Source organism: Homo sapiens, chromosome 17 (assembly GCF_000001405.40).
Source record: "Homo sapiens chromosome 17, GRCh38.p14 Primary Assembly".
NCBI lineage: Eukaryota > Metazoa > Chordata > Mammalia > Primates > Hominidae > Homo > Homo sapiens.
Genome location: NC_000017.11, coordinates 20,556,325 through 20,570,733, shown reverse-complemented (window position 1 = coordinate 20,570,733; position 14,409 = coordinate 20,556,325). Strand labels below are relative to the sequence as shown.

General features: G+C 51.1%; 1 pseudogene, besides 1 other annotated feature; it reads right to left on the bottom strand.

Moving 5' to 3' along the window:
• On the bottom strand, nt 4,048–6,320 carry COTL1P2 (COTL1 pseudogene 2; annotated as a pseudogene).
• Nucleotides 12,747–12,904: a silencer, noted in NCBI's record as "fragment chr17:20461143-20461300 (GRCh37/hg19 assembly coordinates)". NCBI's record gives its function as "represses an EF-1alpha promoter that drives an FKBP-Casp9 reporter gene in an ReSE screen in K562 erythroleukemia cells {active_cell/tissue: K562}" and the evidence as "EXISTENCE:reporter gene assay evidence [ECO:0000049][PMID:32094911]".

Here is a 14,409-nt window from a genome sequence, read left to right as displayed (position 1 = left end):
ATTCAGAGACCAGAAATGGAGGCTTTCACAAATATGCATGCACCATGCTTTTTCATGGGATAGTCTATCTGGAAGATCATTCCAGGCTGCAGTATGTAAAGCTACCTCATTCTTCTTTTTCACCGTTGCAGAGTTCACTGAGTGGCTACATTATTATGGAGCTCACCAACCTCTATTGATGGGTATTTAGATTGTTTCCAATCTTGCTATTACAAGAGAAACACACCACAATAAATATCTTTGTACTAGGGCCATCAGCACATTTGCAAGTGTCCCTGTACATTTCTAGGAGTAAGTTTTCAGATCAAAAGGCATGTGCATTAAAAAAAATGTTGATAGTGGCCTTACCAGTTTATACTCCCACCAGTAATGCAGGAGAGAGCTTGTCTCCCACACCCACGGTGACACAGTGTTATCACAGTTTTGGATAATTGCCAATGTGATAAGTGAAAAATGGGCTTGAACTATAGTTTCCATTTGCACTTCTCTGGTTATAAATTAGGCTAAACATTGTTTATCAGCTCAAGGGCCATTTCTACTTCCTGCTCTGTGAACTATCTGTTCATGTCTATACTCGTGGACATTTTTTCTATTTCATATTTTCGATTGCAGTTTCATTTGTCTTATTGACTGTAGGAACTCTTTATATATTAAGGAAATTTGGATCTTGAGTAGAGTGACTTGAGGATGGAAGCAGAGGGATTTCATTCATCCAAGGGCTTCCCATTAGTTTGGCTACCTAAATTTCATATCCAAAGCAGTCCTTTCCAGTATATGGTTTTTTACTTCTTCTTTTGTTTCTGTGAGCTAACCTATAATCTCCCGGCACATTCCTTGCTTGCTTTGCCTTGGCTGGACTTAGCCAGAGTTGATTTTGGTGGTGTAAGGAGTCTTGATATATCCACTCTCCCTCACCAGGTTGAGTCTGAGGGTCTGAGTTGATATCGTCCCCATCTTCCAGCTGAGATTCCCTGCTTTTCTCTGTGGGTTCCTCAACTTCCAGGTCCAGGCAACTAGTGACCCTTCCTAGCCAGCTCACTCAGGGATGTTTGCAGCCTCCTCTCCCCTGTCCTTGTGTCTAGGCCAGAGGTCCTGTTTTCTTCACTTGGAAGGTGATGTCGCTGATTGATTTAAGAGCTTGTTTGTGCTCTCAGCTCTGGGAGTGTAGGCAGTGGTCTCCCTTGATAATTGTGTCCCAGAGCTTCAAAGGTGAGGGCCAGCAGGACCCTTGGGGATCTTGGGGACCTACCACCACAGTGGACAGAGGAGATGCAGTGCAGAGGGGGAGCTGTCATCTCAGGTCACACACTGTGTTGGGGGACACATGTGGGTCCAGGCCCTTTCTGAATCATAATGCTCGTTCATTCTTTTGGCAAGCACTCCTCAATGGCTGGATTCCCCAGCTTACAGGCAGGGCTGTGCCATAGTGAGCACCGACTCCACATGCAAAGGCAACCATAACTGCCCTGCAGGCCAAGGACAGAGGAGCCTGTTTAGGGAAGTGGGAAGGTGGCTCAGAGGCAGTGGCCTGGAAAGACTAGCTTGGGTTGGGGCATGGCAAGTGCAAAGGCCCTGAGGCAGGTGAGAATGAACATTTTGAACATGGAGGCCACAGGGAGAGGGTCCCACACGCAGGGGTGTCGATCAGAGAGACCATCCTCCAACCAAGACCACGTAACCAAGACCAAGCAGAAATGGAAACAATGAGCAAAAAGCCTTCTAGGCAGGGGAAGTGGCCCAGGGAAGGCCGTGCAGTTGGAAGGAGCCACAGAGCTGCAAGGAAGTGTGGCTCCAGACTGGCTGGGACAGACAGAGTGAGCTGAAGCAGTCAGACAGGATGGGGTGGACACAGGTAGGATCCATCACAGGATGGAGGGGGTCAGCTTTCCTCAGGCACCTCACTCAGCTGCCCTTGTCCATCTGGACAGATCCCCCGCTGGGTGCGGCCATCGGGAAGGAATCCTGCCCCATCGCTGACAATGAGCTGCATTCTTTGGAGAGGCGGCCCCTGTCCCCAAAGCTGGTGCAAGCCCTGGGTGTAGCAGGTGCACTCAGGAGGCAGGGCTGCCGGCCCAGTGATGGGTGGAGCCACATGCCTGCCCAAGTCAGGGTCTACCCAGTGTGGCCCGGCTGAGGCCACCATACGCACGGTTTTCAGCTATGCCTCATTCACTTGCTGTGTGAATCTGGGCTGCAGGGCCCGCTTCTGTGTGCCACAGGCCAGTGCCCTGCAGTGCAATTGTACCTGAGGACCTAAGGTGGCCAGGGAAGCCCCAGGTGGGACTTGGCAGGGGAAGCAGGGCCTGTGGATGGGTGGACAGCTGTCATGTGGAAAGGCAGCGTGTCCACAGGCCCTGGCCCAGCCTCCAACCCCCCCAAGTCCCCTCCAGGCCTCTCCAGACCAGGGCCACCACATACTGGCTGTGCCATTTGGGTGAGTGACCTCACCTCTCTAAGCCTCAAAGTCCTGATCCCCATTGGGAGGGTGCAGTGAGAGGGTGAGTCTGAGCCCACTAGGGCCTGGCAGGCTCTGTATGCATGGCAGCCACCTGCCCACACTCACCCCAGACATCTGCTCATTCCAGAAACCTCCTGGGAACATCCACCATGTGCCAGGCACAGTGTCAGACAGGAAGGGACAGAGAGAAACAAGATCAACAACCGCCCTGCCCTTGTGGAGCTGGCGTTCTAGTACAGGAGACAGACAAGGTGCTTCCGAGGAGGGAGCCGTGCTCATCAGGCAATCCACAACGCCACTCAGGAGGAGACTTTGGAGCGAGATGGAGGAGCCACCTGGGGTCTTGGCAGAGGGAACTGCAGCTGCAAAGGTCCTGAGGGAGAATGAGTGCCCAGCTTTGGAGGAGCAGAGCTGGCCTCTCGGTACCCACCCTAGGGAGCAGGTTTTCCACCTTATTCTTAGGACCCTAGGAGATCCCCTCCGCTGCGAATGCACGAGGATGGCATCGGCCCTTTTATAGAGGGGAAGTTCTTCCTAAGAGAAAACCAAAGTCCCAACGGTTGCAACTGAAGCTGAGCCTTCTCTTTTCATTGCCTCCACCTCCCAGACCCAGAGCCAGCTGGTTCCTCCTGCCTCCTGCTCACAGCTCCAGGAAATCGTCCTGGTGGGGAAAGTAAGTGAAACACCAGGTGGCCTAAGGTATCTTCCCAGGACTCCAAGGTGACTAGACAGGGCTATCTTATCAGCCCTGGGATGCAGTCAGGGGGGAAAAGTTCTGAAAAGAAATTGGACCCAGGGCACTGAGGGAAGCCTAGGTCCCTTCTGAGTGCTCTGCACAGAGACAGGAGGAGAGACAGTCAGGTGTTTTGTGAGGGAGGGGATAGGTGGGTGGTAGTAATGAGGGGTGTTTCAGTCAGTGCCCAGTAACCAAGAGGAGAAAGGGAGGAGAGGGGGGATCAACTTCAGGCACAGCTGGATCCAGAACCCTGAGGCTTGTGCTATGGCTGTTCCCCATCCCCCGTATCACCCGGGTCTCAGTCACCTTCCTCTCTGTGACACAATAGCCTCCTCCCTAGGGCTCCTTCCTTCCACTCTTGCCCCCACAAATCCATTCTTCATATATTGTTCAAACTATGCAACTCCCCTGCTTAACCCCTCTCCCCATGGCTTCCTGACGCCTTCCACGTAAAGCAGAAAACTGTTTACCCAGGCCCCAGAGGCCCCCCCGCTGACCTCCCCAGCCCCACCTTGCTCTCCTCTCCCCTTGCTCCGTCTGTCTTTTCTGTCCTTTGAACACATCAAGCACATCCCCATCTGGCCAACATTGAACCTGCTGTCCCCTCCTCCTGGTGTGTCGCCATGTGGCCACCCCTTCTCAGCAGGACAGCCCAGATGTCGCTGTCCTCGGCCATCCAGCCCCCAGCCCTCTGTGCACTCCCCACACCAGCCCTGTCCGGTGGTTCCTTCAGTGATGGAAATGCTCCCCGTCCGCTGTCAAACACAGCAGCCACCCCGTGCGGCTAACAAGCCCCTGAAATGTGGCTATTGCGATGGAAGAACTGAACTCTTAATTTTCTTCTTTTCATTTTTTTTTTGAAAAACAAAATTTCTTTCTTAAGCTGTTTGAGTGCAGAGATGTTCTTCGTAATCCCAATACAGTACAGATTTCTTTTCCAAAATGAAATGAGCAAGGAAAAAAAGAAAAAGAGCTATATAAAATTTTCTCATGAAGAACCAAGACAATCTCATCTTTCTTTAAAAACAAAACAGGCTGGGCACGGTGGCTCACTCCTGTAATCCCAGCAGTTTAGGAGGCTGAGGTGGGCGGATCACGAGGTCAGGAGTTTGAGACTAGCCTGACAAACATGGAGAAACCCCGTCTCTACTAAAAATACAAAAATTAGCCAGACGTGGTGGTGGGCACCTGTAATCCCAGCTGCTCAGGAGGCTGAGGCAGGAGAATGGCCTGAACCTGGGAGGTGGAGGTTCCGGTGAGCCGAGATAGTACCACTGCACTCCAGCCAGGGCAACAAGAGTGAAACTCTGCCTGAAAAAACAAAAACAAACAAACAACAAAAAACGATCCTTTTGAATGTGTGGTGCAGGTGTAGGATTGAAGCCATGAGCTTTAGCGGTGCCGTGAGCCCAGGGCTTTGCTCACCGCTAGCACCACAGGGGGAGTAGCCCTCTGGCCCAAGCCATCCTTACTGCTTGTACAGAAGCTTCCTGAACCTAAGTGATCAGTTCCCAGCTCTCCTTGAATTCCCAGTCCCCACCCTGGGCCTCTCTCCCTAACACCCTCATTGCTTTGGGAGGCCCTGAAGTGAACCCTGAAATAGTCCCTCTGTCAACTCTGGGCCCAGACCTTTGCCCTTCTCTGTGTCACTAGGACATTTCAGTCAAGAGGGTGGGAACGGGTGCTTTCAGACCCTGCCGCAAAGCCACTGCCAGGCAAGGTTGTTTTTTTTTTTTTTTTTTCAGACAGAATCTCTCCCTGTCCCCAGGCTAGAGTGTAATGGCGCAATCTCGGCTCAGTGCTACCTCCGCCTCCTGGGTTCTAGTGATTCTCCTGCCTCAGCCTCCCTAGTAGCTGGGATTACAGGCACCCACCACCATGTCTGGCTCATTTTTGTATTTTTAGTAGAAATGGGGTTTCACCATGTTGGTCAGGGTGGTCTCGAACTCCTGACCTCAGGTGATCCACCCGGCCAGGCAAGTTTTAAGGCAAATTTTATCTCTTATTCGATCAGAGCCAGACCTAACTTTCTCACCACTGAGCAATCCTGCGTTTGCTGGAGATGCAACTTAGGCAACTCTGGATGAAGGTGGGATGAGGGAGCCCGGGGCAGACTCCAGGAGGTCTGGGACTGACTACAGGAATGGACTTGTGTGCTTATGAAGGCTGCAATCACCAGGTGCCACTCCTGGCCCAGCTGCCCCTCAGTGGTAAACAGGAAGGGGGGCCCAAGAAAACTGAGATGGCAAAACAAATCTAGGCTCCAGAAGCAACATGAGGTTGCACAGATCCCACTAGGCAGCCTCATTATATGTAAGAGAAATGCCAGGAAAAGGGGTTACCGCAGGAGGCACCTCGGATCTGATGACAGGCAGGACCTTGCATCAAAATAATTTTTCTTTAGAACAAAAGAGAGGGGGAGAAAAGAAAAAAATCAAAGAAAGGGGTTCCACAAGCTTCATGAGATAAGACACAGCAGTGTTCTAAGGGAAGCAGGAAGGTGGGGGCTGTGGACACAGGGTGGCGGGCACTGCCTCTCATGGATTCTTTTCTCCCTGGTGGGCTGGTGGGTTGGTAGCTGAGGCCTGAGGGCCCCTTCCCCGGGGAGTAGACAGATGACTTTGGCAAGGGGCAGTGGGGAAGCTGGGGTTACTCCACCTGGAGTCTTCTTCAGTTCACTTTTCATTACATCTCCCTCCAGCTCCTTCTGATCACTGATCACAAACTCCTTAGTGAAATCCTGTATGACCTCCTTCACCAGGGTCTTGACATTCTCGCCGATCCACCTGATGAGGGTGGCATCCCTCGTGGTGACGCACACGAAGGCAAGCAACCAGATCTCATCTGTGCACTGTGGGATGAAGTGCTGGTATTCCACTCCTTGCCCGATACGGACGATGGTGGAGCCGTCATATTTAAAAGTCACCCAGATGACGGCCAAGCCGTCATCTCGCGCCAGGTTGTAGGCCTCCCAGCAAGCCTCTTTGTCAACCTTGGTGGCCATTGCCACAGGGCCACAGCGGGGACACTGCCCGGGGTGACTGAGCATGCCCCTGGCTGCAGCGGGGATGGGAGCAAGGTAGTGGTGACAGTGACGCAGCGTCTGCAAACTCCAAGCACGGCTGCAGGTCCGCTAAACTCTTTTTTTTTTTTTTTTTGAGATGGAGTCTCGCTCTGTTGCCCAGGCTGGAGTGCAGTGGCATGATCTCATCTCACTGCAAGCTCTGCCTCCCAGGTTCATGCCATTCTCTTGCCTCGGCCTCCCGAGTAGCTGAGATTACAGGTGCCTGCCACCACCCCCAGCTAATTTTTTTGTATTTTTAGTAGAGATGGGGTTTCATCGTGTTAGCCAGGATGGTCTCAATCTCTCCCATTCTCCTGCCTCAGCCTCCTGAGTTGCTAGGATTACAGGTGCCCGCCACCACGCCTGGCTAATTTTTTGTATTTTTAGTAGAGGCGGGGTTTCACCATGTTAGCCAGGATGGTCTTCATCTCCTGACCTCGTGATCCGCCTGCCTCGGCCTCCCAAAGTGCTGGGATTACAGATGTGAGCCACCGTGCCCGGCCGCTAAACTCTTAATTTTCAATTACTCCAATTGCTTGAAACTCAAATAGCCATATGGGGCTAGTGGCCACCATTTGGACAGAGTGACTCCAACATTCCATGTGGTGTAATTTTATTTGCTAGCCTTTAGCATCATGTAATGTGATCTTCTTCACTTGTTTTCTGTCTCTGTGACCAGAGCATCAGCTCCTTGAGGTGGGGATTGGTTTGTCTTGTCCACTGCTGTATGCTGGGGCTAGAAGTGGGCCTGGCATATAGTAGAGGCTCCATATGTAATTGCCGAATGAATGCATGAGTAAATGAATGACTCCTGGGGACCATGAACTCTGAATTTCTCCAAAAGGAATGCTAGTTCTGCCAGGGATTGCTGCTCTGTGACCTCAAGTCAGGATCTTGCCCTCTCTGGGCTCAGCATCCTGACCAAGGGGCACTGGGGCCCCTCTGGTCCTGAGGCTCTGAGACTTACTGCTGCTTCCTCTGTCCTTTTGGGAGAAAAGCTGAGTGTTGGGAGAGAAGCTGAGGCAGGGCTTGCATGTCTGCTAGACTTGCTAGCTCTTGCTTCTAGCACTCCCATTATCTCAAGTAGCCACATGTTTCAAAGAAAATGCTACACCATCGCAGCTGTAGCTCACTCACTTGATACATTGCTTCCTTTAAACCCCCACATCCTCACCATGTGTTTCTTTGTTTGAGCACCAGTAAATAGCCTGGGCTCCCAGAGCTCAGGGCCTTTGCAGCCTCCATACTAGTGTTGGCCCCCTGGTCCCACTTTATTTCCTGTCTTTTCTCATTCCTATGACTCCGCTGGACTTCGAAGCCCCCATGGCCTGATGTTGGGTCTGATCACCCCAACCTGCCCAAGCTGCCCTTATCTATCCTTCTTACCCGAGGCCCACCTCCTGCCTCCCAGCCATGTCATAGGAAGGGGGCCAGATGGGCTTCCTGTCCCCAGAGCCTGTGTCTAGGAAGTCATCACAGCAGGCTGCCTGTGCCCATCTCCTAGCAATAAATGGCCTTAGGAAGTATTTGGGGGTGGGATAAAGTGGTGATCACTGTGGGGCTGTGTCCCAAATCAACACCTCTCCAGCTGGCCAAGGGCAAGTGTTTCCCAGGAGCCAGGCCAGGGCAGGCTGGCGGTTGTGGCATGTGCACCAGGAGTCAGCTCCAGGGTCCTCCAAGCCTGGGCCCTGCAGTCGGCCACCCTCACCCTCTCATGCCTGTGCTTGGGGTTAAGAGGTGGCAAGGGGTGCTTGGGCCCTACATGCTTCTTGTGGGGGCCTGTAGGAACCAGGCATGAGGAAGTGAAGAGCAGGTGCTGACTGTGAGTGACTCTAACCCTGACTGCCCCAGCATCCAACACTCGCACACATGCACATGTGCCTACTCACCTGGACACAACACAGCTATGCATGCTGACACGAACTTGCTCGGAGGCATGGGCACAGACACACACTTACTTGTTTTTGTTTTTATTATTTTGAGATGGAGTCTTGCTCTGTCACCAGGCTGGAGTGCAGTGGCATGATCTCAGCTCACTGCCACCTTTGCCTCCCGGGTTCAAGCGATTCTCCTGCCTGAGTCTCCTGAGTAGCTGGGACTACACACAGGAACCACCACACCCAGCTAATTTTTGTATTTTTAGTAGAGACAGAGTTTCATCACATTGGCCAGGATGGTCTCCATCTCTTGACCTCGTGATCCACCCACCTTGGTCTCCCAAAGTGTTGGGATTACAGGAATGAGCCACCGTGCTGAGCCATTTTGTGTGTTATTTTTATAATTTTTATGTTTAGAGAGGGATCTTGCTCTCTTCCCCATGTTGGATTGCAGTGGTGGTATCCTAGTGCACCGCAGCCTCAACCTCCTGAACCCAAGCGAGACTCCCTCCACAGCCCTGCCAGTAGCCAAGAATACAGGCCTACACCACCATGCCTGGCATTTAAACAATTTTTTTGTACAGATGAGGTCTTGCTATGTTGCCCAGGCTGATCTCAAACTCCTGGGCTCAAGTGATCCTCCTACCTCAGCCTCCCAAAGTCCTGGCATTAAAGGGATAAGCCATTATGCTCGGCCCTGTCTATTCATTAGATTTGAATTGCAAATCTTCAAAGTCCATCCATATTTGCAGGAAGTATAAGTATTCCATTCATTTTAATAACTGAATAGTATCCCCCTGTGCACATATAATACATGTTGCTCATTTATTCTTCTGTTGATGAACAATTGGGCTGTTTCTACCTTTTGGCTATTGTGAATATGCTGCTCTGAATGTTGGGACACAAGTATCTGTTTTTTTAAAAATTGTGTTTTATTTTTTGATAAGTTATTGGGGTACAGGTGGTATTTGGCTACATGAATAAGTTCTTTAGTGGTGATTTCTGAGATTTTGGTGCACTCATCACCAGAACAGTATACACTGCACCATATTTGTTGTCTTTTATCCCTCGCCCCCACCTTCCAATCTTCCCCCCAAGTCCCCAATGTCCATTGTATCATTCTTATGCCTTTGCATCCTCATAGTTTTGCTCCCACATATCAGTGAGAACATATGATGTTTGGTTTTCCGTTCCTGAGTTCAAGTACCTGTTTGCAACCCTGCTGTCAGGGGTTTTGGACATCTACTTAGGAGTGGAATTGCTGGGTCATATGGTAGTTTTATGTTTGACTTTTTGAGGAACTGCCAAACTTTTCCACATTATACATTATACATTCCCATGAGCCACTGCATTATACATTCCCATGAGCAATGTGTGAGGGTTCCACTTCCTTCACATCTCCAACACTGGCTATTTTCCATTTGTTTGATAATAGCATCCTAATGAGTATAAAATGATGTCTCATTGTGGTTTTGATTTGCATTTCCCTAATGACTAATGACATTGAGCATCTTTTCATGTGTGGATGCTGGAAGTAGGGACACCGTGACAGGACAGTAGCCTTGGCATTGCCTTAGCAGCAGTGTAGGATGGGGATCAGGGAGCATGAACGAGGGTGAGGAGGGAGAGGAGTGGGGAGAGAGAAAGGGAGAAAAGAGATGGGGAGAGGGAAGAGAGAGGTAGAAAGCAAAAGATGGGTGGAAAGAGATGGGGGAGAGACAGAGGAGGCTGAGAGGGAGAGGAGGATGGAGAGAGCAGAGAGAAAGAGAGATGGGGAAAGGGGCAAGAGATGACAAGAGAGACAGAGAAGCCAGAGAGGCAGAGGGGGAGAAAGGGAGAGAGGGGGGGAGAAAGGGAGAGAGGGAGAGAGAGACAGAGCAGGAGGTCGGGGCACTCTGGGTCCCAGTTTCCGGTGCAGTTGTAGGTCACCATCACCTAACTGCAGGTGCAATAAAGCCCTCGTGCCTGCTGCTCGCAGCCCCTGAGAGTCCTTCCTCCTGGAGAATAAAACCTTTGAGGGCTGCCCTTCCTCACTGGATTTTGGTTGTTTCTAATGAACTGAGTCATCCTGTCTATCACCTTCCTGGGCTCACGGCTCCACTGAATGCTGCCCCCTCGGTTTGGGAGGACCAGTGGTGCCCCCATCTCACCAGGCTCCCAAGGAAGCTTGTGACCTTGGCTTGGGCCCAAAGTAGCCGGGTACCCACTGGGGCTCTGCTTCTCCCTTCACTAAAAGAAGAAAGAGACCAAAGAATGGTCTGCACAGAGGGCACCTGTGCAAACACCCAGGGAACCAGGGAGTTGAGCCGTCTTCATTTCCTAACAGATACATTCCCTTCTGTGCCTCCTTAATGAGGGCATGAAGCACAGTATGCGTGTGTCCAGCTGTGTGCAAAGGCATGTGTGTGTGCATGTGTGTTGTGGGAGCATGCAGTAGGCAGCAAGGAAAGGGCAGCTCCTGCTCAAAGCTGCAAGTCTCTCTGAAGGAAAGATCAAGATTCCCTGGACCACAGCAGGACAGTGTTTTCATTTGCATTGAGAGCATTTAAACCTGTATCTTGAGTAGCATATAAACTTTGTTGGTTAACTGTTCTTACAAGCATTTACACAGTAAGATAAACATATGATAATATACACTGAAATTATGCACCCTGCACCCCACCGTCCCAACCCCGGCCAAAATTATCTTGCAAACCTACACCCAGCAAAAGATCCCATAGTGCACTTTGGGAAGTATAGACAGGAAGCCTGAGTCTCCATTGCTCATTCCATCTTTTCACCAGCTGTGGGCTACCAGGCTGCATTGGTTTGCTAGGGCTTCCTTAAAGTACCACATACTGGGCAGCTTCAGCAACAGAATCTCACTGTCTCACAGTCCTGGAGGCTGTAGGTCCAAGATCAAGGTGTCGGCAGGGAAGGTCCCTTTCCAGGGCGGTGCAGGAAGGCTCTGTTCCAGGTCTCTCTCCTGGCGTGTAGGTGGCCTTCCCGGTGTCTCTTCACCTCGTCTTCCCTCTATGCATGTCTCTGTGTCCAAATTTGCCCTTTTATAAGGATATCAGTCATATTGAATTGGGCACCCCCTACTGATCTCATTTTTCATGTTAACTTATTTCTATAAGACGCTATCTCCAAATAAGATCACATTCTCAGGCATTGGGGCTAAGGACATCAGCATAGGAATTTCAGGGGACAAATTCAACCCATCACATAGGCCATCCCCGAGGCCACCTCTGCGTCATCTTTGTCTACAGGCAAGTTGGCATCTAAAAAGTGTCTGCCCAAGACATGCATCTGGCCCATGGTACAGCCAGTCCACACAGCCAATGGTGAAATCCGGGTGGCATTGTTTCCTCACCGCCATGCCTCATGCAAGCAGCTGCCTTCTTATAACGGTGGACACAAATCCCGGCACTGGTGCAGACGCTTGCTGGCTGTGGGTGAAGTAGCCCCATGTCAGTGTGCTGCAAAGATGCAGCTTAGAATGTTATGGCTTGTGTGAAAGATACGCAGATTTCTATTCCTTCCGATCTGTGGTTTCAAGTTCTGCTCATCTGAACCCAAGGGGCTCTATAGGGTGCCTCTGGAACAGCCGGGGTGTTAGGGGTGCTGAAAAGGTGTTAGGGTGCCTAGGCTCAACCCCAGCTTCAATCACACAAATAATCTTGTTGACATGATTTTTGGTTAATTTTTTTTTTTTTTTTTTGAGACAGAGCCTTGCTTTGTCGCCCAGGCTGGAGTGCAGTGGCCTGATCTCTGCTCACTGCAAGCTCCACCTCCTGGGTTCATGCCATTCTTCTGCCTCAGCCTCCCAAGTAGCTGGGACTACAAGTGCCCACCACCACGCATGGCTAATTTTTTTTTTGTATTTTTAGTAGAGACGGGGTTTCGCCATGTTAGCCAGGATGGTCTCAATCTCCTGACCTCATGATCTGCCCGCCTCGGCCTCCCAAAGTGCTGGGATTACAGGTGTGAGCCACCGCGCCTGGCCTGGTCAGTTTTTTAATTGATCTTTTGTATAATTTTTTTGTTTAAGAAAGGGATCCTTTGGCAGAAAGAAAATCTGAAACTCTAAATACTGTCCATTTTATCCATATATTGTTGGTCATACCCTCAAAATATATCCTGATTCCAGCCATTTGTCATGACCACTTTAATCTGAGCTCCCATCATTTTTCACCTGGATTACTGTACCAGCCTCCCCAATGGCCTCCCTGGTGCCACCTGGTCCCTCCCCAGGGCTCAGCAAGATTTTTCTGCAAAGGACCTGGTAGTAAGCATCTTGGGCTTCGTGGACCCTGTGGTCTTTGTTGCACCTACTCAGCAGTTACTCAGCTTCGCCACTGCAGCCCCAAAGCAGCCCCAGACAAGAAGCGAACACAGGGGAGGAACTGTGGCTCCAATAAACCTTTATTCACAATAGGAGGGGGGCTTCATCTGGATTGTGGGCCATAGTTTGACCACCCCTGCCTGACTTCATGGCAACACTAACCTTCGTATTTACGCCTCTTTTTTTTTTAATATTTATTTTTGTTGTATGTATTTATGATGTACAACATGATGTTTCTTTTTTTTTTTTTTTTTAGTATTTATTGATCATTCTTGGGTGTTTCTCGGAGAGTGGGATTTGGCAGGGTCATAGGACAATAGTGGAGGGAAGGTCAGCAGATAAACACGTGAACAAGGGTCTCTGGTTTTCCTAGGCAGAGGACCCTGCGGCCTTCCGCAGTTTGTGTCCCTGGGTACTTGAGATTAGGGAGTAGTGATGACTCTTAACGAGCATGCTGCCTTCAAGCATCTGTTTAACAAAGCACATCTTGCACTGCCCTTAATCCATTTAACCCTGAGTTGACACAGCACATGTTTCAGAGAGCAGGGGGTTGGGGGTAAGGTTATAGATTAACAGCATCCCAAGGCAGAAGAAATTTTCTTGGTACAGAACAAAATGGAGTTCCTATGTCTACTTCTTTCTACACAGACACAGTAACAATCTGATCTCTCTTTCTTTTCCCATTTCCCCCTTTTCTGTTAGACAAAACCGCCATCGTCATCATGGCCCGTTCTCAATGAGCTGTTGGGTACACCTCCCAGATGGGGTGGCGGCCGGGCAGAGGGGCTCCTCACTTCCCAGACGGGGCGGCCGGGCAGAGACGCTCCTCACCTCCCAGACGGGGTGGCGGTCGGGCAGAGACACTCCTCAGATCCCAGACGGGGTCGCGGCTGGGCAGAGGCGCTCCTCACATCCCAGAAGGGGTGTCGGGGCAGAGGCGCTCTCCACATCTCAGACGATGGGCGGCCGGGCAGAGACGCTCCTCACTTCCTAGACGGCATGGCCTGGAAGAGGCGCTCCTCACTTCCCAGACTCCGTCTGCAATCCCGGCACCTCAGGAGGCCCAGGCGGGCAGATCACTCGCGGTCAGGAGCTGGAGACCAGCCAGGCCAACACGGCGAAACCCTGTCTCCACCAAAAAATACAAAAACCAGTCAGGCGTGGCGGCGCGCGCCTGCAATCCCAGGCACTGGGCAGGCTGAGGCAGGAGAATCAGGCAGGGAGGTTGCAGTGAGCCGAGATGGCGGCAGTACAGTCCAGCCTCAGCTGGGCATCAGAGGGAGACCATGGAAAGTGGGAGACGGGAGACGGAGAGGGAGACGGCAGACGGGAGACGGGAGACGGGAGACGGGAGACGGGAGACGGGAGACGGGAGACGGGAGAGGGAGAGGGAGAGGGAGAGGGAGAGGGAGAGGGAGAGGGAGAGGGAGAGGGAGAGGGAGAGGGAGAGGGAGAGGGAGAGGGAGAGGGAGAGGGAGAGGGAGAGGGAGAGGGAGAGGGAGAGGGAGAGGGAGAGGGAGAGGGAGCATTTACGCCTCTTAAAAACATGTGTAAGCCGAGTGCAGTGGCTCATGCCTGTAATCCCAACACTTTGAGAGGCCGAGGCTGGAGGATTGCTTGGGGGCAGGAGGTCCAGATCAACCTGGATAACACAGTGAGATAACTGTCTCTACAAGAAACCATTTCAAAAGCAGCCAGGCATGGGGGCCCACACATGTAGTCCCAGCTATTCAGGAGGCTGAGGTGGGAGGATTGCTTGAGCCTGGGAAGTCAAGGCTGTAGTGAGCTGTGTTTGGGCCACTGCACTTCAGCCCAGGTGACAGAGCAAGACCCTGTCTCTGTCTCTCTCTCCATATATATATATATATATATATATATATATATATATATATATATATAAAATTTATTTATAGTGTGTTAATGGTTGTCTACAAGACACACCTTTAA